The sequence below is a fragment of the Homo sapiens genome, chromosome 3 (genome assembly GCF_000001405.40).
Source record: "Homo sapiens chromosome 3, GRCh38.p14 Primary Assembly".
Taxonomy (NCBI): Eukaryota; Metazoa; Chordata; class Mammalia; order Primates; family Hominidae; genus Homo; species Homo sapiens.
In genome coordinates this window covers 102,417,942-102,440,029 of record NC_000003.12, presented here as the reverse complement: position 1 = coordinate 102,440,029, position 22,088 = coordinate 102,417,942, and the positions used below count along the sequence as shown (strand labels likewise).

Sequence of the window (22,088 nt, the reverse complement as noted above, 5' to 3'; positions counted from 1 at the left end):
TGACACCTCAGAGTTGCAGTTGGCCAAATCCGGTGTCAGAACTCTACAAGACAAATGACCAAACTGCTCAAAGAGATAAACAGCATTTTGTAAAAGCAAAGGACAGAGGAGAACTGTTATAAAACAAAATGAAATAAAAGATATATCAACAAATACTCTATGTGAAGATTTTAGAAGCAACTTGGCTGCATTTAATGATATTAAGAAATTACTGTTGGGCTTATTAGACGTATACGTAAAGGATAATGATTTTTAAGTTCTTTTCCATCACATATAAACACCAAAGCATGAATAATGCATTTATTTTAAATATGCCAGAGATGGGAGTGGTAAGGACAAAGATCAAACAAAATTTATAAATGTTGATAATTGATAACGCTAGATAATCAATATGAGTGCTCTTTCTACTAACCTCTACTTTTGTATGTTTGAAGTTTTCCATAATAATAAATGTAAAAAAAGCTCATTTTTGATATTCAAAGCCATTAACAACTCTGCCTTAGCAAATTTTTCTTGAATTCCTTTGGTCATTCCCACCGTGACCTTCATATTTTACTAACAAACCAAGCACTTACATCCTAGGTCTAAGTTCATGAAGACATTCAGACAATTTCTGATGTGGGCTCTGTTGTAGAAATCGCACTTTATCTATGTAACTACCTACTGATTGCTCTATGCAGGTTTGCTGTTTCATAGCATGCTCCAAACACAGGAGGACTGGCAGGTTTTGAGAATGTAAACCACGGCCAAAGAGATTCCATTTGCATGGCAGACTTGGAAAATTGTTTCCAATTACCTAATATTTATTTTGTAAATGTTGAACTGTGGTTCCATTACTTTAGCTAATATAAAATGATGAATACCTAGGTAAAACCTTGAGTAACTTATCATTGAATGCAGGTTTTAGAAACCTGTGGGACATGCCCATCAATGTTGCCAAATCTCGTATTTGTCACAACGTTGATGGGTTTCTGTGAAATTCATTCTGAAGCTCACCTGTGTCCTTTGTGGTAATCATCATTTCATTGAAATAGCATTTTTTTGTATTGTACAATATTTTACAATCATTTTCTTAAGATTATTCCTAAATAAATATTAGCATTTAAGAGCAGTTCTTTAAAGTCTAAATTAATTTATGAGAAAAAAAGACACAAATTTTGAATGAAATTAGTCTCTCCCAATTTTTTACACAGTAGGCAATATTTTTCATATCTGTGAGCAGCCATTATAATAATATTAACTATGATGAACACTTTGTATGTTAATATGGATATAAATTACAGCTCCAGAAAAATGTCTTGTCATTTGCCATTTGTTAATATCCACTTAATGTAAAGAGATAGCCCCCCGTTCTCCATATATATTTAAATGACTTGCTCTTCAAATATAATCACTCTTCCAGAAACAACTAGAGAATAGATTAGGCTTACACTTACCAGGAAATCTACTGTGGAGGTTGGCATCACAGTTGTAGCCGTTGAACTGAGCAGACCCCGGAAGCACTCTAATTGTTAGAAGCAGCAGCAACCATATTTGTTCCATTGCAAAACCTGGAAAAGAGATATCTATCATGTGGACACTCCCACTTAACTCCTTCACTCCTACTTACTGGAAAAACTGAGGCTGATCTCAGCTCACTGTTGGATAAGCAGTTTACATCCATGCAGCCAAAGCTCACGAAATAACTGAGGATTATCGGTAGTAAAGGCAGATATTTGGGTTACAACATTTCAATATTGTTTTCATCATTGCCTCCTGTTGGCTAAGGGTGACAAAGCTAGATTTTCATAGTAGAAGAGCTAAGGTATAAATCATAAAGTTTACAAAAGGAAACTTCTTTATTATGCATAGGAAGAACGCAAACCAAGTATCTAGCAGATTGGAATAGCATAACTAGGCAGACTAATTTGGAGATGAGTCTACTTTTTACAATACCAACAAGTATATAGTCAGAGGAATTTAAATGTTGGATACTTGATTCTAAGAGGAATCTCAATAATCTTAATGACCAAATAACAACTTTCCCTTAACAGAAAACAGAAAAAAGTCTCCCCCAACAGAAGAATTCCAGACTACTGCAACTTTTCAAAATCAATGGTTTGTGTGTCATTTTCTTAGGAAACATAGTGATAAAGCAAAAGGAAGAACAGGAAAATACTCTGTGTGTGAACAACATTGCAGTTCCTCCCACAACTGCTCCTTGGTGGGTAGTAAGGACTGATACAGACATAAGAAAACGTTGAATTCTTAGGATAAAGTAATGGAAGATTTTTTTAAATGTATCAGTGTGGGTTGAACAGTTAAATAGAAATGGACTTTTACTTAAACACCAGTCAGTTTTGCGTTTAATAATTCTTTTTCCTGGATGCCCATTCATTGGCCTGATAGAGTTAAAACATCTTTCAGGAATACCTAACTTATTCTCAGAGCATAGTTTGTACACTGAAAAGAATCTTTTGGGTTGGTGGTCTTGGTCTACGCATAAAAAGCAAAAAGAAAATAAAATTGCAAGTGGTTTACTCAAATAATTTAGTGGATTTTAAAAGCTTGGGTTTTGGAAGGAAAATGGTGTTTTAGCTGTCCTTAAAAATCTACCCTTAGATAATTAATCAAGTCTTTAGGAAAAGGAAGGAAACACATCTTGCTTTTGAATCATCATTTCAGAATAACAAGTTTACAGTGAATAAAGTCACTTTGGTGAGGATGTGGGAAAGAAAGTCATGCTCACTCTCAAAAATCGACTGAAAAAAAATATTAATTCAGCAGGAACTTCCTTCCTTTGGCACTATCACACAGTACTCGGGCACAGATCTAAAGACTTTGGAGAGAACAGCCATATGCCTAGTTAGTTCTGATTGCCTGTGACAGTCCATAAGCAAAAGGCTCACACCAGTGGCTGACCCAGACCCTAGGAGCTCTTGGCCATACCTGCGCCATCATTATCTAGCTCCTCAAGATACTTCAACTAGAATAAGACAGTCTTGCTCTTTTGGAGTCTTTGGAAGACACTAGAAAAGAAAGAAGCCTGAATAAGCAATACACTCCACTGCACCCACATTTATTCCATGCTCCATGCTCCACCACTTCCTTCTCATGATGGGTCCCAAGAACTCCTGGAAGACATTGGAAACTCTAGACCCACACTGTTGTCCCCAACACAGAGGTGTATCCTAAGAAATTACAGAATCAGGAATTTAAGTTGGTGAGTTATTTTGTGGTTCTGAAATGCTTTCTAGCTAACATATATTTTTCACAGGAGAAAATAACATTTACTGAATGTACACTTTGCACAAAGAAGGCACTTTGTGCCAGATAACTTTCCTATAGCTGCTCATTTATATTTTTTATAATGATGGGTGAGGTTACAATTATTACTGCATGTACAGAGAAAAGAATGAGTCTCAGAAGGTTTAAATGACGTGAAAATGAAGTGGAGGAACTAGAATTCAACCCTAAGTCTTTCTGATAGTAAAGTTTGTTGAACAAGCTACCTAAATTTCATCTGTTATTAAATTTAAGATTTTCTTTATTGCCATTTATCATCAGCTGTTTTCTTTAGCTTTTTACTTTGTGTATCTTTTAATAGATCTGTTCATTTATAATGAGTAAACAATTTTGATGTAATTAATACAATTTTCTTTATAGATATATTTTATAATGGGGCATTATGAGAAATAAAATTATTTTTAAAAAAGAGACAGAGAGAATTGTTTATTTCTCATTGTGAAAACAGCAAAAAAATTATTATTGACTAAACTAGACACATTTGTGTTGGCCAAAAATAAATGAAAAACTCATGTTAATTGAAACAGCTCACTGAGAACAAGTAGTAAACTCTTAGCCTTAAAGCTTTAAATCACATCTCAGGTTGTCCCAAAAAGGCATGACACTGTCCTACTCTCCTTAACAAAACCTACAGCACTTTCATAGTGATTAATACCCTAACCATTTTTTAATGAATACGAGGTGGAAGTAGAAGGCAGCTTTCTTTAACAGAAAATATATTGATTTTTATGTTAGCAGGTATAGATTCAGATAAATCCCTTCTCAGCCATTCTGTAGATTTGTCATTTAAAAATCAAGATAATGGCCAGGCGTGGTGGCTCACGCCCGTAATCCCAGCACTCTGGGAGGCCGAGGCGGGTGGATCATGAGGTCAGGAGATCGAGATCATCCTGGCTAATACGGTGAAACACCGTCTCTAGTAAAAATACAAAAAATTAGCCGGGCGTGGTGGCGGGAGCCTGTAGTCCCAGCTACTCGGGAGGCTGAGGCAGGAGAATGGGGTGAACCCAGGAGGCGGAGCTTACAGTGAGCTGAGATCTCGCCACTGCACTCCAGCCTGGGCTACAGAGCAAGACTCCGTCTCAGAAAAAAAAAAAAAAAAAAAAATCAAGATGATGATCATAGACTTTACAAAGTATAAGTGCATAAAGTATAGTATAGTTTGGACATACAGAAGGCATTGAAAACTTAGTTTCAAGGCCACCACATATTGATGTGCAGGTCGTACCCTCCACAAGGGCATCCAATGCAGGAAAACAATGTCTAGGTCTGAACTTCTTTGGACTAGCCATGTACTCTAGAGCTAAGCTACAATACAAAGTGTCTCATGGGCTAGTGACATCCCTAATTGGTTGAATCTCTATTTGAGTTACAATGATATTTGTGCTGATCTGTGTTTTAATATTAAGGCACATTAGGCAAGGAATTTTAAAAGGACACCCATATCTCTTATAAAGGCAGTATCCCTATTTTGAATCTCTATAGTCTTGGCAGGGCTTACGACATTTTCAAGCCTTCTTTATAGTTCAACTGTAAGTTAAAACAAACTGATGAACTATTATCTTGCAAATTTCCCATCCTCAACCTTACCTTCATCATTTCCCCTGCACATGGAAAACCTGAGCATCATCTTGCCATAGCAAGCTTGGAGATGCTATTTTAGCACAGTCCCTAAATACTTTTCTGAAATTGAATTGTATGGGATTGGGGGATTATGTTAACACCCTTTACATTCCTCAAAAACATATCATCCTGGCTGCTCAGGCTCCCTAGATCTTAGGCAGGTGCAATTCCAGACATGTGTATTTTAGCTCTGATCTGGTTATAAAGGTTTAGTGGAGTTTCTTTTCAGAATGTAGAACCTGATTCTGTGGTTTACTCTGGAATAATCTAAGGTGCTTGCTGTCCCACTGTGGCTCCAGCAAACTCTTGACAGAGAATCTGAGCAGAAGCATTTTTCACCTTCTCCACCACATCTAAGTGCAGCAACCAATGTCTCTGCTTGGATTTTAATAGTGGTTTACAAGAATGCCTTGTCTAATACATCCAATAATACAAAATATTAATACCACAGTCTGAGATGATAATGGCCTTGAAGATATGTGTGCAAAAGAGTTTTGTATGTGTTTCTTATTTAGAATCTTCATAAGTTTAAATTGATGGGAATGGGGAGGAGAAGGAGGATTATAAGTAAAATGTTGAATTTTAAGAAATTCAGAAGTGTTTGTGTAAAAAAAGAGACATCTGTATCTCATAAACTGTTACTAATAGAAAAGGAAGTCATATGCTAAGTGATTTGCTGTCAAATATGTCAATATTTCTCATACTAAATTTTCTTTTTAAAATGACTTCTTCCAACATATAAATCTCTAATTTCTTTGCTTAGAATTAAATTTGGAGTCAGAAAAATATAATGCACTTTTAATTCCTCCTCAATTTTATATTAATTGGTATAGTTCTGTCACAAACATTGGTCTTTAGATTTTAATATAAAATAATCTTTGTTTAATCTTTTTATTGAGATCTGTTACTGTATGTACCAGGCACTGTGCTATGTTTAATATTCAACTAATTACATAGATTTAATTTTTACTCATGTTAAAAATGTGAAAACCAAAGCTTAAATATTTTAATTGACTCGCACAGGGTCACAGACATAGTAAATGGCAATGCAGAATTCAAAAATGAGCTTGACATTTGGAATTATTACATTATTCTCTTTGACTTGATTGGAGGTTTTCAAATAAAATTAATGTCCTACTAATTTTCAGAAAGTAAATTATATTAATAATGTATGCTTAAGATATGCTCTGAATTAAATAATTCAGATGATTGAGACAAAATATTTTTTAATATCTACATAATTTTCATGACTCTATTTCATTAGGCAGTGAGTGCATAAAGAACATTGTTCTTGGCCAGGCGCGGTGGCTCACGCCTATAATCTCAGCACTTTGGGAGGCCGAGGCGGGTGTATCACGAGGTCAGGAGATCGAGACCATCCTGGCTAACACGGTGAAACCACGTCTCTTCTAAAAAAATACAAAAAAATTAGCCGGGCGTGGTGGCGGGTGCCTTAGTCCCAGTTACTCGGGAGGCTGAGTCAGAAGAATGCCTTGAACCCGGGAGGCGGAGCTTGCAGTGAGCCGAGATCACGCCACTGCACTCCAGCCTGGGTGACAGAGCGAGACTCCGTCTCAAGACAAAAAGAAAAAGAATATTGTTCTTTTCAAAAATTGATTTAATGTAATACTTATAAGTTTTAAGAGCTGACTGTGTACCAGAGTGTTTTAAATACTTTTATATGTGTTTTCTAACTATGAGATAGGCAATTTATTCTCCCTATACTGGGGAATGAGAAAACTAAGGCACAGTAATCTGAAGTAATTTGCCCAATGCTAAGCAGACAGCCACTGTTAGAATCAGGATTCACGCCCGGAGCAATGACTACAGAAACAACCCTCAACTATTATGTGGCACCGCCTTCCAGAAAATGATGCATATAATGCTAAATCAAATGGAAATTTGGCAATTTCTTGGTAAATTTGATCAGTATTGCTTTATTCTTGTGTATACTGATCAAATAATTATTGAATGTTTATATGTGTCTGGTACTCTCCAGGGAGTGGGGGGATGCTGAGGTACAGCAATCAGAAAAATTTTTATTGCATATCTGCATAGAACTTACATTCTAACTTCTAAGTCAGAAGGAACCAAAATCTACAAGTAAAATATAGAGTATATTTGTGATAAGTGCTATGGAGATGAATAAAGCAAGAAGAATAGTAGGAAGTTCTAAGGTGGAAGGAAGAAATATTGAAGTTTTAAATAAAGTGGTCAGAGATATATAACTAACCCATATAAATGAAGCTTGCTGGGGGGAACATTGATTATGAACAACCCAGATCTATGTGTCTATAATGTATACCTCACTTGCTTTTTTTTTCTTGCCATTTAGCTACTTCTCAAATAAAATAGACTTTCCTAGTGCACAAATTACTCTTTGGGAATAACTTGGACACTTTAAAAATCTGCATTAACCTTTTCAGATGAATAAAGGTGGCTCTTAGTGCCTGAGAAAAGTAATTTATTAAATAGCACCCCTGTGACCTGAAAAAAAAAGTGAACATGTTCGAAAGTGCCTTTATCTGCTCTCAAGAAATAACTTTTGCAGAGACAAATGACCTCAACAATTTATCAAACTTTTAAATTTCCTTAATTTCATTGCCTTGATATAGGCTGATCTGTTGTTATAGTTGGAAAGAAAAATAGAAAATTCAAACTAAATATCATCTCTTCAAATGTTAAACATCAATCTGAGATTTATGCACTTTTCCCCACTAAACTAAAGCTAGTTTTTTATCATACAGATTCACAAAAATGTGAAATGAGTTCTTTGGCATCGGTGAGGCCCCAGTCCTCTAATTCTTGGCTCTCCACTGCATTTACTGAGCAGCTACTCTCCACAGGCTGCCATTCCTGTAGGGGCATGGCCTCATACCCAGTGCTTCTGCATCACTCACTCAAACCTGCTCTGCAGAAAAGATCACAACAGTTCATTAAGGTTTAAATTACTGGAAACATTAAAAGATCTCAGGAAAAAAGGAGAAAAAAATGTGTGTATTTTAACAGAGATCAAAGTTTAAGTTAAAGGATGAAACTCTACTCCAGCATTGGACAACTAATAGATCCTAGGTAAACGGGCACTAAAGCCACACAGGTAGGCAACTGTATTGCCCAGCTAAGAATCATGATGTTACACAGTCTTCTCTCCAGGAAAAGTACATATTAACTCGCCCTTCAAAATCATTATTGTTTTTTGTTTGTTTGTTTGTGAGACAGAGTTTCATTCTTGTCACCCAGGCTGGAGTGCAATGGCACAATCTGGGCTCACTGCAGCCTCTGCCTCTTGAGTTCAAGTGATTCTCCTGCCTCAGCCTCCTGAGTAGCTGGGATTACAGGCAACCGCCACCACGTCCAGCTAATTTTTGTATTTTGAATAGAGACGGGGTTTCACCATGTTGGCCAGGCTGGTTGCGAACTCCTGACCTCAGGTGATCCACACACCCCGGCCTCCCAAAATTCTGGGATTACAGGCATGAGCCATCATGCCCGGCCCTAAATCATTAGTTTTAAAGTGCTAAGGATCACAACTCCTTAATAAAGAAACATGTTCTCTGATGGGGTGTCTAGACTGAAGCTCTATATTCTTTATCTTTATCTTGCACTTGCACATTAGAGTCAACATATATATTAAAAGAAAAATGAAAATATATGACCTTCATTGGAAATATTCATTATTATGTACATATACATTCATTAATGTAGAATGTCCTTGTCTTGCTAAATAAAGAAAAAAACACACCATGTACTTTCAGAATAATGCCTCAAACAAAGAAGGAAATATGTTGAGCCAACAAGAAGACATTCAGAAATTTTATGGCTCTTAAGATGCTGATGTATACCATAAGGAAATATGAATGCTAAAGGCTGCTCCTAAGAGAAAAACCTACTCCAATTTTCTCTGACACAAAGTGAGTGTTCATTTATTTCCCTTTGCCTGCCTTCCTCATTTGTCTTTCTGTTGAGGGTTTTCTTAAGTAATCTACAGCATTTAAATGATCTACAGTGTTTAGTTTAGAACATTTATTGTACAATCTGAGTTTTGGGGGAGTAAGTGAAATGATAGGTGGAACTAAGTCACTTTAAAAGCTTTCCCTTAATAATTCACCAGGTTCCTTTTCAAGATATTTGCACATTTTATTCTTCTGAAGCAGCTTTGAAGATATGCTAGCATATTGACTTCCTTCCTCCTTTCATGAAGTGTAATCATAACAAATTAATAATAAAATAATAATTTTACTAGTTATCTTAATTGCTCATTTCCCTCCAATGAAAACTTGACTATTGGTATTATTACATCAGAATAAAAATATTTCTTTCTCAATAGAGATGATAGGCAAAATATTTATGAGAAGGCACAGCACAGGAATCAATCACAAGGGACAAAATGCCAGTATCTTTTGGCTGAATATAAACCCACTCCCCGATATTCAAATGTATGTTCATGGGTACCAACAATGAATAATGGCAATATAATTTCACATCTTTGTCAACCCTTTCCTAAGAATAAAACAGCTCTTTTTCCTATAGTACTCCTCTCTTTGAGATTTCTGTTAATTAATTATTTATTTCACATATTTTTGGTGAGCAGTTTCTAAGCATTGGACTCAAGGTCTTGGGAAGTCAGAAGTAAGCAAAACAAACATAAGCTTTACCCACACAGAGCTTATAGACTATAGACAGAGGGAGTTATTAAATTAATAATCAAGCACATTAAAAAATGTTTGCAAAATATGTTAGGAAAGTGCTATGAAAGAAAAGTAAAGCACAGTAGATCCTAATTTAGATGGCAGGTGTCAGGAAAAGACTTTCTGAGAAATGCAACAGTTGAAAAGTATTGAAGGACTGAGTCAAGTTAGTCAGATGAAGGCTGGAGCAAGGTGAACTAGGTAGCATTCATCGCATGACCACAGATCCTCAAATGTCAAAACAGTCAATACTTTGTGAAACTTTTTTGGAAGAAAGTCCATCATCCTGAGCTAGGAGGAGAGGGCCAGAAGTTGTCTCCCTGTAGGCAGCAGGGCCGGGCTACACCTTTTCTCCTAAGTGGAATGGAAAATCATTGAAGACTTTTGAATTGAGTGCTACTGTTATAATACTAGGGGTGCATTAAAGTAAACATATTTAAAATATTATTTTGAAAAGGAAATAACAGGACTTGTTGCATTCTAGGTGCAGAGTGAGTACGAAAAAGGAATCAAGAATGACTCACAAGTTACATTCTCAGAAACTAGGACTATAACAGAGTCTAATACAGCCTTGAGATGTGGAGATTCCAATTAGATATTGCATTTCTCATCTTTTTTATCTATGTATTTATCCAAACATATGTACATCTATCTATCTATCCATCCATCTATCTGTTGTGGTGGTGGTGGATACTGAGTCATTTGGAAGTTAGTTTTAGACATTTTGATCCATATTCCAGCACACATCTCAAGAATAAGGGCCTTCTCCACATAACCACAATGGCATTATCAATCGCAAGAAAGTTACAATTAATTCATAAGAGCATCCAATATCAAGTCATAGTCAAACTTTCTCAATTCATAAAAAATATATTATATAACTTTCCCCCCCAATCCAGTAAACCCTAAAAAGAGTCCAAGGAGATAATACAACTAAGTGAAAAGGATGATGTATTACATTTGGTTGTTATATTCCATTAGTCTCTTGTAATATAGAAATTCCCCCTCGTCAGATAACATTTTAAATCTGTAAGAATTCCATGGTCCTACCAGACCAGAAGAATGGGAGAAAATGCAAGATTCTGTCAAATCAGAAATAAAGTGGCATGACAAGTTATTCAAATATGTTAAGAATCAAGAAATGCAAAATTTTAATCAAATATTAAAAGCTGCATGGTTGCAGAGAGAATTGGGTAATGTGTCATTTGCATCTAAGGGATGTTAAACACTTAGATTACATGAGTTAGATGAGTTGTGTGGGCTATAACAACAATGACATGAACTTCCCTAATTTATTAAGCCCTTACATAGACTATAAATAGGATTATGTTGCATGATGGCTGCAAATAAGAATCTAGCCATAGTCCCAGCCAAAACCTTTGACTAATAAGTAATTTCAGTTAGTTTAGAAGACAAATGTGTTTCAAGTGGATAAGTATCACTTAAGCCCAGGCATATATAAGCACATGTTTAAAATAATCAACAATTAGGTAAATGTCTTAATGTTAAAGAATCTATGCGTGTTGGTTTTTTTAGCAGTTCTAATGTGTTAAAGAATTTGACCTACTTAAGTAACCGGTTAGTCTTTTTATTATGACTTAAAATGTGTAACAAGTAAACAATGGAAACTTCTTATGTAAAACTGAAATGCTACCAAGGTTTTATATACATATATATATATATACACACACACATATATATAACATATATATACATATATGTTATTTAATAAACCTAAGATTGAACAAATTTATTTTTTTAATTTTTAAGCATTAAATGCTTGAGATTTTTTAATAGCAGATAATTAAACTCCTGTAAACATATGAAACTGCCCCTACTAAAAATGTAGTATATTTGATTTCTTTTCAGTACATCAATCAAATGCTTTTGCATATAAGATGAAACATTTTTCAAAGGCCACTTAAAAATTATTATTGAATTTTTTAAGTCAGAATTTAAGTTAGAATTTAAACTTAAAATCTTGAGGAATGACTAGATTTGAGCCTAGCTATTTTATTTGAATATTAATTCTTAAAACTCTAGAATATATTTTTAAACAATTCAATTTAGGGAATCAAAAACATCATAGTGAACACAAAGAAAAGTGGTTGCTTTGCTTCAGAAGCCATGTTAGATGCAAGATTCACGTCTTTAAACCGTAAAATCATAGACTACAAGGTGAGATGCTCACACTGAGTTATATAGGAACTAAAACCAATGGAAGAAAGTCAGTTTGATATTGTCTCTCACGTTTATACAGGGTAATAAATAAAGTCATTGACCGAAACAATAGAAAGACTACACATACTATTTTTATTAATTGCACTTCCCTCTTTTTTTCTGAGACTATATAGTTGAGTTTGTTAATAAAAATGCCAGTTTGATGTGACTTTACTAATTGCATAGAATATCTGTTTCTTCCTCAAAAACTTTTTAATCAAAAGGAAGCACTTCAGCTTTATAATAATTGCATTAAAAACAGTAAAACTTACAGAAGTTAATATGGGAAACTATCTTTATGATCTAGGGGTAGTGAAAGTTTTTTAAGAAAAAAAAATGCTTTACCACCATAAGTAGTGGGCTGAGCCTGCCAACAACTTCTGGAGCCTCACGGAGATATTTGTGTCTTCATGTTGTCTGTGTATTTCATGTAACATGTCATTTATGCCACATAGTAGGGCTGACCCTTGAATAAATATAACTGTAGGTTTGGGCTCTGGTTCTCATTCTGTCACGAATTGTGTGTGTGCTCTTGGGGATGTCATATGCTGGGCCTTACTGCCAACTACTTCATATGTGAAATGAAGTATTGCCCTAGAGATAAAGTACCTATGAAACTGTGATGTTTTAACAACTGGGGGATAAAATAGTAATACACTCCCTGGGACCTGCCTTCAAATATCACCTCCTTTATCAGAATGTAGGCTTTACTATTCCAAAAGGATTTAGAGATCTTCCATTGTCTTCTTGCTTTATCCATGACAATTGAAGAGGTGGCAAGTGATGCATCCCCAAAACCCTCATATCTACCTCTGGTCATTGTATAAGAGATAAAATCAGCAAGAGATCTTACAGCCTAATCTCCATGTTGCTAAAGAAAAACATTAGCCCTTCCACTTTTGGATGATTTTGTCCTTCCTTCCAGACAAAAATGGTAAAATTAAAATTACATGAAAAAAATAAGTCGCTATTGGTGGTATACTTTTATTTTATTTCTTTTTGAGTCTACATTTTTGTTTCTCAATGGCCTTTAGGAAGCAATAATCACGAAATAAAATAGGCTGCTGGTAATTTATAATAGTACTTTATTCTGTCCAAAACACATTTTCACCCCTGTTCTCGTTAACGTTCATGATTTTTTAAAATTATTTATTGACCTGTTTGGGAGGATGTAATATTAAACTTCATGACATTACTCAGGAAGGTGTTGAAGCAAACAGAGCTGCCTTTGCTCTTTAGATCTGGAAATTGATGTCAAGTGGCTGAGTGTTTTTCTTAGATAGTTGCATTATTGCCATAAGTAATATAAAAGGACAACTAAAAACATCTCCTGAAATAATAATTTCTAAAATTTATAGCTTAGCTGCTTGTGAACAATAAAACTACATCCACAAAATATGATACTTTTGGACATGATGAAATCACATCCACAAAAGTTTTAGCCAGTTGGATCAAGTAGCATATATACTCAAAAGTATTACTTAACAATCAATATTGAAATCTAGGAGAACCTAAAATTTAAGCCCTTACATTTAAACACTTCAATTAGCACCATATTAATTGCTTCTATTTTATGGATTTCATAAAATTACTCATAGACAAATGAAGATAACCATTATACAAATCTTTACATTGGAAATTAATAATTAAAAGGAAAGAATTAAGCAAGAATTCTGAATTTTTTTTTTTTTTTTTGAGATGGAGTTTCACTCTTGTTGCCCAGGCTGGAGTGCAGTGGCACAATCTTGGCTCACTGCAACCTCTGCCTCCTGGGTTCAAGCGATTCTCCTGCCTCAGCCTGTTGACTAGCTGGGATTATAGGCATGCACCACCACACCTGGCTAATTTTTGTATTTTTAGTAGAGACAGGGTTTCACCATGTTGGCCAGGCTGGTCTCAAACTACTGACCTCAGGCGAACTACCTGCCTCAGCCTCCCAAAGTGCTGGGATTACAGGCGTGAGCCACCGCACCCGGCCCAATTCTAACTTTTAAGTAGTGGCAGTATTTCTGTTTTGAAATGGCTCTTTAAAAAATGTTCGTGTGTGTGTGTGCATGTGTGTGTGTGTGTGTGTGTGTGTGCATGTGTGTGTGTGTGTGTGTAGGAAATATGTCAAAATGTTAAAGATTATACTAATTATACTATTTCAATGTTTGTATATTTGAAATTTATCATAGTAGAAATTTAAAAACAGGTGACCTATAGATAATTTATTCTGTGGTATCTTGAATAACTCACTTTACCTCCCTTGCTATCTGTAAAATAAGGACCTACATCATCTAAGTGACTAAATAACTATAACTATAACTAAGTTATAGAACTTTGCAAAGGATATTTCATCTAGTAGGCTTAAGGCATAGAAGTAAAAATAAGACTAACTTATTTAAAGGATCAAAGTAAATGTTGTCAAGATATTGGAGAATGAAAGCATTGAAAGGAAGGAAAATTATTACTTAAGAAGTTAACACGCTTTTGTGTCCCGGATGAGATGAACATAATCTAAGAAAATTATATCCCTACCATAGTCAAAGTTGGGGATGTAAGACATAACGCTAAACACAACTTTCAGCTCCTATCTCAATAACCAAAATGTTCTTTGGGATCTGAAACACCAGGCAAGCTCTAGAAATAGCTGTGAGCCACAGTAGGCAAAGTAAGCTGTTCTAGCAATGATCTCTGTCAAAAGAAAAGTTGCTTTAGTGAGGCTGGGACCAGGGACAGGGAGGAGGTGAGCAGAAGGATGTATTATTTTGGTTGAGATTGCAGATAATGTTGCATTATAACTAATAAATCAGGATTTTTGGCAAATTTGAACATAAACATTTACGGGCATGAAGACCCCCACCTTTTCTGTATATTATAATATATAATACATTTCATAGTATTTTGGTAAAAGTTCTATCAAGAATAGTATGAAAACCAAGATTCATCATGGCAAAACTGTCTCTACCCAAAGACTTATACAAAAGATGTCACCCAGAAATACATAACTAGTTGCCAATTGAATGACAATAGCTGTTTAGTTTGGTCTATTCCTTGGTCAGTGCCATAAAACAAAGATGAAATATAAATGAGGCTTGAAGAAGAGCAGAGATTAGGTATTTGAAAAATATAAAATAGTTGCATTTCCTCCTGTATGTAATATTTGAACTTCTAAATAAATTAGCTTTCTTCACTAAAAAGAAATCAAAGTAATGGAACAACAACAAAAAAAAAAACCCCAGCTATTTTTCAAACTACCTACACAGCCTTGGAGAGTTTTACTAATTCCTTGTTCCACAGGCCCTGCTGAAAATCATGGGTTTAGATTAGAACAATAATTTGCAACAAATAATGTGCTAGAATATTGGTTAATGAGTCAAGAGCAGCATTTTTCATGAAATAGAATAGGATTGCATAGTATAGGAGCAAATAGAAAGTATTGGAATGGAAGGGAACATCTTAGAGAGCACTGTGTATGTACTGTACTCGTAAAATGTATATGTGTTTTGTATGCATTTATAGGTGTGTATATATTAGATCACTATGTAACATATCTTACTGTGAGTCATAGTCAAAAAGTATAAAAGCTACCAGTTTAGAACAAGACAGCAACATGGTACCCATGGGCCGAATCTCCCCACCCACAGACAAGTTTTGATTGGGTTCGCAGAAGTAGCAAACAAGAGGAAATTGGCATTCCAAGACAACACTCGCAAGAACAATGTTGAGAGAAAATGTATTTCCCAAGTTCTAGGTAAAGACCCAAAGTTAGATTATAGAGTTTGATTAATTCTTCATTTGTGTGTGTCTTGGGAGGATGCTTGTTATAAATATATAGTATGGTAAGGAATTAGAGGGAATAGATATAGGACATTCATTTGTGAATGAAAGGAGAAAAATATGAAGATACCTAGAAGGAAATTTGTATCTAGAGGAAATTTTTTCACAAAGGGAAAACTTGATGGCAGAGAAAGGAAATGCAAAAAATATGTATATTCAAGAGACTGGAGAGACGAGGACAATTTATAACAATAGTGTTTTCTCTTTTGCTCATTGATGCAATGTTGTAATTAATTCATAAGGAACAAAGACTGAGCCATCGTTTCCTTTCTGTTTCCTGATGGATAAAAGAAAATCATTCCCTTACATAGAGCAGTAATTAATGACTATTTGTAAACAAAGGATTAAGACTGACATCTTTGGTTCCTTTTTACAAGGATGAATTAGCATTGGTACACAGTTTCTCCTGTAGCACTCTAGTAAGAAAACCCCCATTTCCAAAGCAGCTACCTGGAATGGAGTATGTGATCTACAGCTGAAGAGTAGAGAATGGGCTACAGGAAAAGCAAACTCCTAGCCTTTCCATGGCTAGCACGCTGCTTATTGGTCATGTTAACCAATCAATTACAGAGCTGAGCAGCACAAAATAAGACCTTTTAAGACTATGCATGCCACCATTGAAAAACTCCACGTTGAAATCTCTAGTTATCTCTCTGCTTCTTGAGGGAGACTCACCTAACTCATGAACATTAGGTGAGAAATCATAGTCGAGGTCCCTCTTGTACTGTAATAATGTCAGAAAGCTACTCTTTGAAAGTTAGTGTATGCTTAGAAAATGCAAATTTATTTTAATTTTTAATGGAAATTAGAAGGTAAATTTACTGGAGAAAAAATATTTTTAAAAATCATTATGGAGCCAAAATAAAATTGTAAGATTAATATTCTGTGTTTATAGGAGAGTTCCTTGAGTTAAGATAATATAATGGTCTGCATCCTAACTGCTAATTTGAATTACTTGAGGAGTTTTAAGAAATATGAATGTCCAAATTTCTCCTACAGTGATTCTAATAAGCTTTTGAGATTACGAACCACTGAGATAGAGGAATAAGGTTTTGCTATACTTGAGATTCCATTTCTAGTTGTCTTTTGTCATTGGTAAGCATATTTTCTTTTTCCTCACCATGACTCCAGAGCTGGAATCTGAAAACAGAACTTCCAAGAAAGGATAATGCTCCCTGATGCTACAACATGGCAGTTTAAGCCTGAAAGAGTCAGCTAATCAGCAACATAATGCATTTGTCAACCCAATGAAAATGAATTCAGTTTGTATTTCTTTGATAGAGTCCTTACAAATGAAGTGAAAAGTTTTGGACCAAAAGTAAAACAATTGTAGGGAAAAAAGGAGGGATCCTTCTTCCCACTGACAGACTTGTTCTCCCTGTGGCTCTTTCCTGATCAAATGATATAAAATTTTATGCTTTCTTAAATAACCATGACATTTCACACCAAGGTTGATGAATCCTATAAATAGACTGCCTGATCATGTCATGTCCCTGCTTGAAACCCTTTGTTAATGTCAACACCACTCAGGAGAAAGCTCCAATTCCATGACACGGCAAAACAACAACAACAACAAAAAGTTCCTATCTGCCCAATCACATGTTTCTATTCCCTATGCCCATCATATCCACTCTAGACTTGCTACAGTTCCCAAATTCAATAAGTTGTTTTATATATCCATATCTTTTCTCACTTCACTGCTTCCAGCTATAAAGCAGCTCTTCCCAAGCCCACCAACCCTCCACAAAGACATCTCTCCATTCAGCTTTTCAAAAACCTTCCCATGCTCTTCTTTCAAGACACTCTTCTATCAAAACAACCCCTTCGTGCTCATAGAATTCACTACTTCTTCTGTATTTTCCTCAGAGTCTATGCATCATTCTATAATAGCAGTTCTAAAAATGCTATGCATTTAGATCAGCATTTCTCAAAGCTGGCACTATTGATGTTTTGGGCCAGATAATTCTTTGTTGTAGGATGCCATAACAACATTGTAGGATATTTAACAGCATCCTTGGCTTCTATCCACTATATACCAGGAATAGTTCCCCACAAGTCATGACACCCCAAAATATCTTCAGACATTGCCAAATGTCTCCTAGGGGGCAAAATCACCCTTTGGAGATACAACTTTGTTCTTTCCTAGTAAACCTCTAAGCTTCATGACAGCAAGAGTATGATATTCATCTTCGTATTTAGGAGCTACTAGAGTGCAGATCCACTGCAGATTTTCAAGTAATGTTTGTTAAATGAATGATTATCTTGCTACAAAGGGGATAGTGCCATATCATCAAAATGTAGAAAATTAAGTGTGTCAACATTTAGTCCTCAAGATAATGCTTTACTGTTTAAACATTCCATTACTAATTAAACTTTTCAATTTCATCTAAACATCAATCAAACTAAAATCATCAAATCAATCTATCCATCACTAGAAATAATTTATATTTATTTTTGTATGTTTTTAATACAAAAGAAAATGGGACTTGGGGGTCTAGAAATTGATTTGAAATTATACCTAGATATATAAAACTCACAATAAAAATTGCTTGAATTTAGTGAGTTCATTGGTTCAGTTTTTTTTTAAGTCTCACTAGTATTTTTATGTTCTGTAACTAGCTTTAATTAATTGGTTCACTTTCTAAAACAAGGTTCAGCTGTACTTTTTATGCCCTGTAATTAACTTTGATTTTTATAAACTAAAAAAAGCAAAACAATACAATCTTTTACCAAGTCTCCTTTTCACTTCACTGACAGTGATGGCACACATTTTAATAGAATTGATAAATAATTTTAGAAAATAGAAATATATTACCTTCATTTTAAATATTTATTCAAGAGATTTCTAATTAGAATTTCTCTGCCAGAATTCAAATACATGAGCACAAATACATAATACACAAATGCACCAAAGTTTTTAAATGTGTGTACCTATGGATAACAATTTTAAATCTCTAAAAGATGAGTAGTTTTTAAAAATTATTCAATTATTATAACTTATTACATGAAAATCATGATAAATTACATTTGAAATAGAAAAGTTGGTCACAAATTATTTCCAATTCCACAATATTTATTATATAAAGAAAAATGATTTAATTTCAAAGTACAACTCATGTAATATAAACAAGATTTATATTCTGTCATGTAATGATGGTGTGTTCAACTGAGAGATAGTGTAGTTGTAACTCTGGCTTTTCTCAGATAAGCACATATGAGCAAATATAATACTTTAAATTCTAATAGATGACAATAAGCGGTCTTCAGTCTCTCTTACTTTTTGAATGGTTAAATTTTAGATTCAAGAACTTACAATGTTAGTGAAAGGTTCAAGTTAATCTCATTTTATAGAGAATCCTAACTTTACAAACAAAGCCATTGACATTTTCATTTGGCCTTAGGTGACTTTTATCAAACTAAATATACTTTTTGAATTTAGCATCTGTATTTTTCACAGATACAGCAGTAGAAATAACAAAATTATTATATTAGTATAACTTTACTCTTCTTGTGGCTTAGCCACTTTAAAATATTTTGGTTTCATAATTTTTAAAATATTTTTGTCACTTTCCAAGAACAAATCCATAAAGCTCCATGTACAAAATTTGTTTTTTAAATATATTTCTTCATGTTCTAGGATATCTTATTGTGAGTTCCAGAAAATTAAAATGTAAACCAAGGGATTGGTAAACTACAGCCGGCAAGCCAAATTCTGCCAATCACCTATTTTTGTATGGTCCACGTGCTAAAAATAGTTTTCACATTTTTCAAATGGTTGAAAAAAAATCAAAGGAAGAATAACCTTGCGTGAAAAGTGAAAATTATAGGAAATTCAAAGTATAGTATCTATAAATGAAATGTTATTTTAACCCAGCTTATCTGTGTTCAAATTTTCTTTGGCTGCTTTTGAGATACAGTGACGTATTTTAGTAATTATAACAGAGACCAACAAAAACTAAGATATTTGTGATCTGGCCCTTTACGGAAAAGTTTGCTCACCCTGCTATAAACAATTAGAATATGACTATAAACCACAAAACATATAAATCTGGGGGACAGGACACAATGTATTTCTAAGGAAATTCAGCAAATATTGTCTTTCAGTACTTTCTCATTAATATATTTTTCTGCAAGCCTTGACAAAGGCCATTTTCCATTAGCAATAAAAAACCATGTTCATTCAAACTGGTGGAATTGATCAGCTGCTTTTTTAAGGTGTACCTTTCTTTGCCTCATCATTGAGGTCTTGAGAGTTTGAAATTCCTATAATTTCCCACTTGAAATCAACTTAGACATCTAATAATAATCAGCAGTGACTCTGAATCTGTAATACTCAGTCTAGTGCTTTATCATATCTTGGTAAAGCTGTTGTGTCTGGCTTCCAGCTACACCATTTTACAATGAAGACAAACACAGCAAACCAGATCAAGCTTAATTAATAGCCTTGACCTACTTTACATTCCAGCTTAAATACAGAAAAAAAAAAAGGACAAATTTGGTAAATTAACCAAAAAAAAAAAAATGAGTTCCTTGCAAGCAAACATTTCTAATAGGTACTTAAATGAGACAAAAGATTATCATTCTCTACTCATGAACTTAAAGTTATTCAAGCTATTGAAAAAGCTATGAAAACATGTATCTTTAGTCATTTACTGTTTGATATCATAACTGAATAGATTACAATATGAGCATCTGCTCACAGTTCAGTGGTTCAAAAGTTACGTTTAGAAAGAGATTCCTTGCAAAAAAAAAAAAATCAGTCGTTTATTACCTCTGCATTATTATAGGCCCTTTTAAGGGGAAAAGAAGCTTTAAATGTCTTGAAAGAAATGTAGAATTTTCCCTTAGTTCCCAGAATCATGAAAAACAAGAGAGAGAGAAACAAAGAAATGTAGAATTTGTTGTAATGTCTACCATGATCTTGTTACTATGTTATGAGGCTATTAACAATAATGATAACTTTTTTTGAGGATGTTTCTGAAAATCTCTAAAACAAAAATATATACAACACATTTTTAGATTTTTATATTTAGCTAAGTATTATAATAGTAAAGAAAAATAAAAACTTACATAGGGAAACTTAAAAATACAAAACTAGGCACAATTATTCAAATGAAAGTTCTGAAATGTGTCACATGAGAGAAAGCTAGTGACTGAAAAATGAAATAATAGAGATTTTCAATTATGTATTAAGATAAATATTAGATGTTTAACTAAATTCAACCTCTTTGTTGTTGCTACCTAATTTATTTAAACTGACAGTTTAGAACTGTTTCTGATTTTCCTTTTTATTTGACCCTTAAAGTGAATTATAAGAATCCAATTCAAAGGAGCAAAATGAATAATGTCATAACCCTGAAAACCAAAAAGATTATTATCTCAAATACATGAACATAGTCTCTTCCTTAACACCAAAAAGTAACTGGCTTCACCAAAGGCAAAATAGAAGAAGCCATTAGAATGGAAGGAAACTTAGAGATCACCCAAGAAATGGAAATCACAGTGTTTCCCCTTATTCACAGATAACTTCTCCCAGGTTATGGGAGATTCTGTGTCAATTTTAACAATACTAGGCCAATCATTAGAATAATTTTTATTTAAAAGAAAATCACACCATAATTATTTTCAATTATCATATCATCATTGTAATTAGAGATGATGCCACACATATCTAGCCAGCTTCTCTGGTGCAATAGAACCCTGATAAGAAATCTAAAATATACACTGTTTGCTTCCATTCATGAAGCATCTGTGAGCTGTAGCCGGCTGGCAAAGTCTGTGGCTGGAATTCATGTCTGAAGCACAACGATGTGGCAAATCCTGCACAACTTTTGACCTCAAGTCTGAACCTCAAGATTGAAGAAACTGCCAAAAGACTCGGTCCTTTCTCCAAATATAATAAAAATATTTGGGATAAATTGAAGTTTACAAAATACAATTTTGTTTCTATCTTCCTGCACCCAAGTAGGGGAAGATGTTTTTAACCTCCTTTTGCTATATTTAAGATACTTCCCAGGCCAAACATTACCCATCACTGGAACCACAACAACAACTACAGGAGTTTTGCGGGAGGTTGTCTTGTGTGTTAAAAAGAAAACATTATTAAATTAAACTGAGTCTTCCATGCTTAGTAAAAAGGCAGCATTTTTAGTCACTTCAGGTGGCTTCAGTGCTGGGCACTTACCCAAATCCCTGGTTCTGTGGAGTCAGCTGTCCTCCATGTGCTAGGTTCTGCCGCATGTGACTGAGTGTTCAAATGCCTGACCTTACCAAACTTTTTCAGAAAAGAGTCAAGGCTTCAAATGAGAGAAGAGCTGCTCTTTTTGAAATGTCTTTAAAAAAAAAAGAAAGAAAAAACTGAATTTTAGACAAGCAAATGCTTCCACAGGTCTCACAAGGTTTTACAAAACTAATCATCACCACCATGAAATCTGAGCTCATCTTTTAGGG

At 34.4% G+C, this 22,088-nt stretch overlaps 1 protein-coding gene across 4 annotated transcripts in view; it reads right to left on the bottom strand.

Annotated features, from left to right (window-relative positions):
* The window catches only part of ZPLD1 (zona pellucida like domain containing 1), a 94,698-nt gene that overhangs the window by 39,812 nt on the left and 32,798 nt on the right, over window positions 1–22,088 (bottom strand). Inside the window, exons 1-3 of one of the 4 annotated variants that reach the window (NM_001329788.2) lie at window positions 4,876–5,015; window positions 3,057–3,170; window positions 1,437–1,550 (exon numbers count right to left, since the gene is read on the bottom strand). In NM_001329788.2, the coding sequence (NP_001316717.1) occupies window positions 1,437–1,542 (106 nt within the window). In that variant the 5' untranslated portion in view covers window positions 1,543–1,550; window positions 3,057–3,170; window positions 4,876–5,015. Of the gene's footprint in view, window positions 1–1,436; window positions 1,551–3,056; window positions 3,171–4,875; window positions 5,016–21,822; window positions 22,001–22,088 lie in introns of those variants that run through there. The other 3 variants (XM_017005703.1, XM_017005704.1, NM_175056.2) reach the window with 3 other exon arrangements.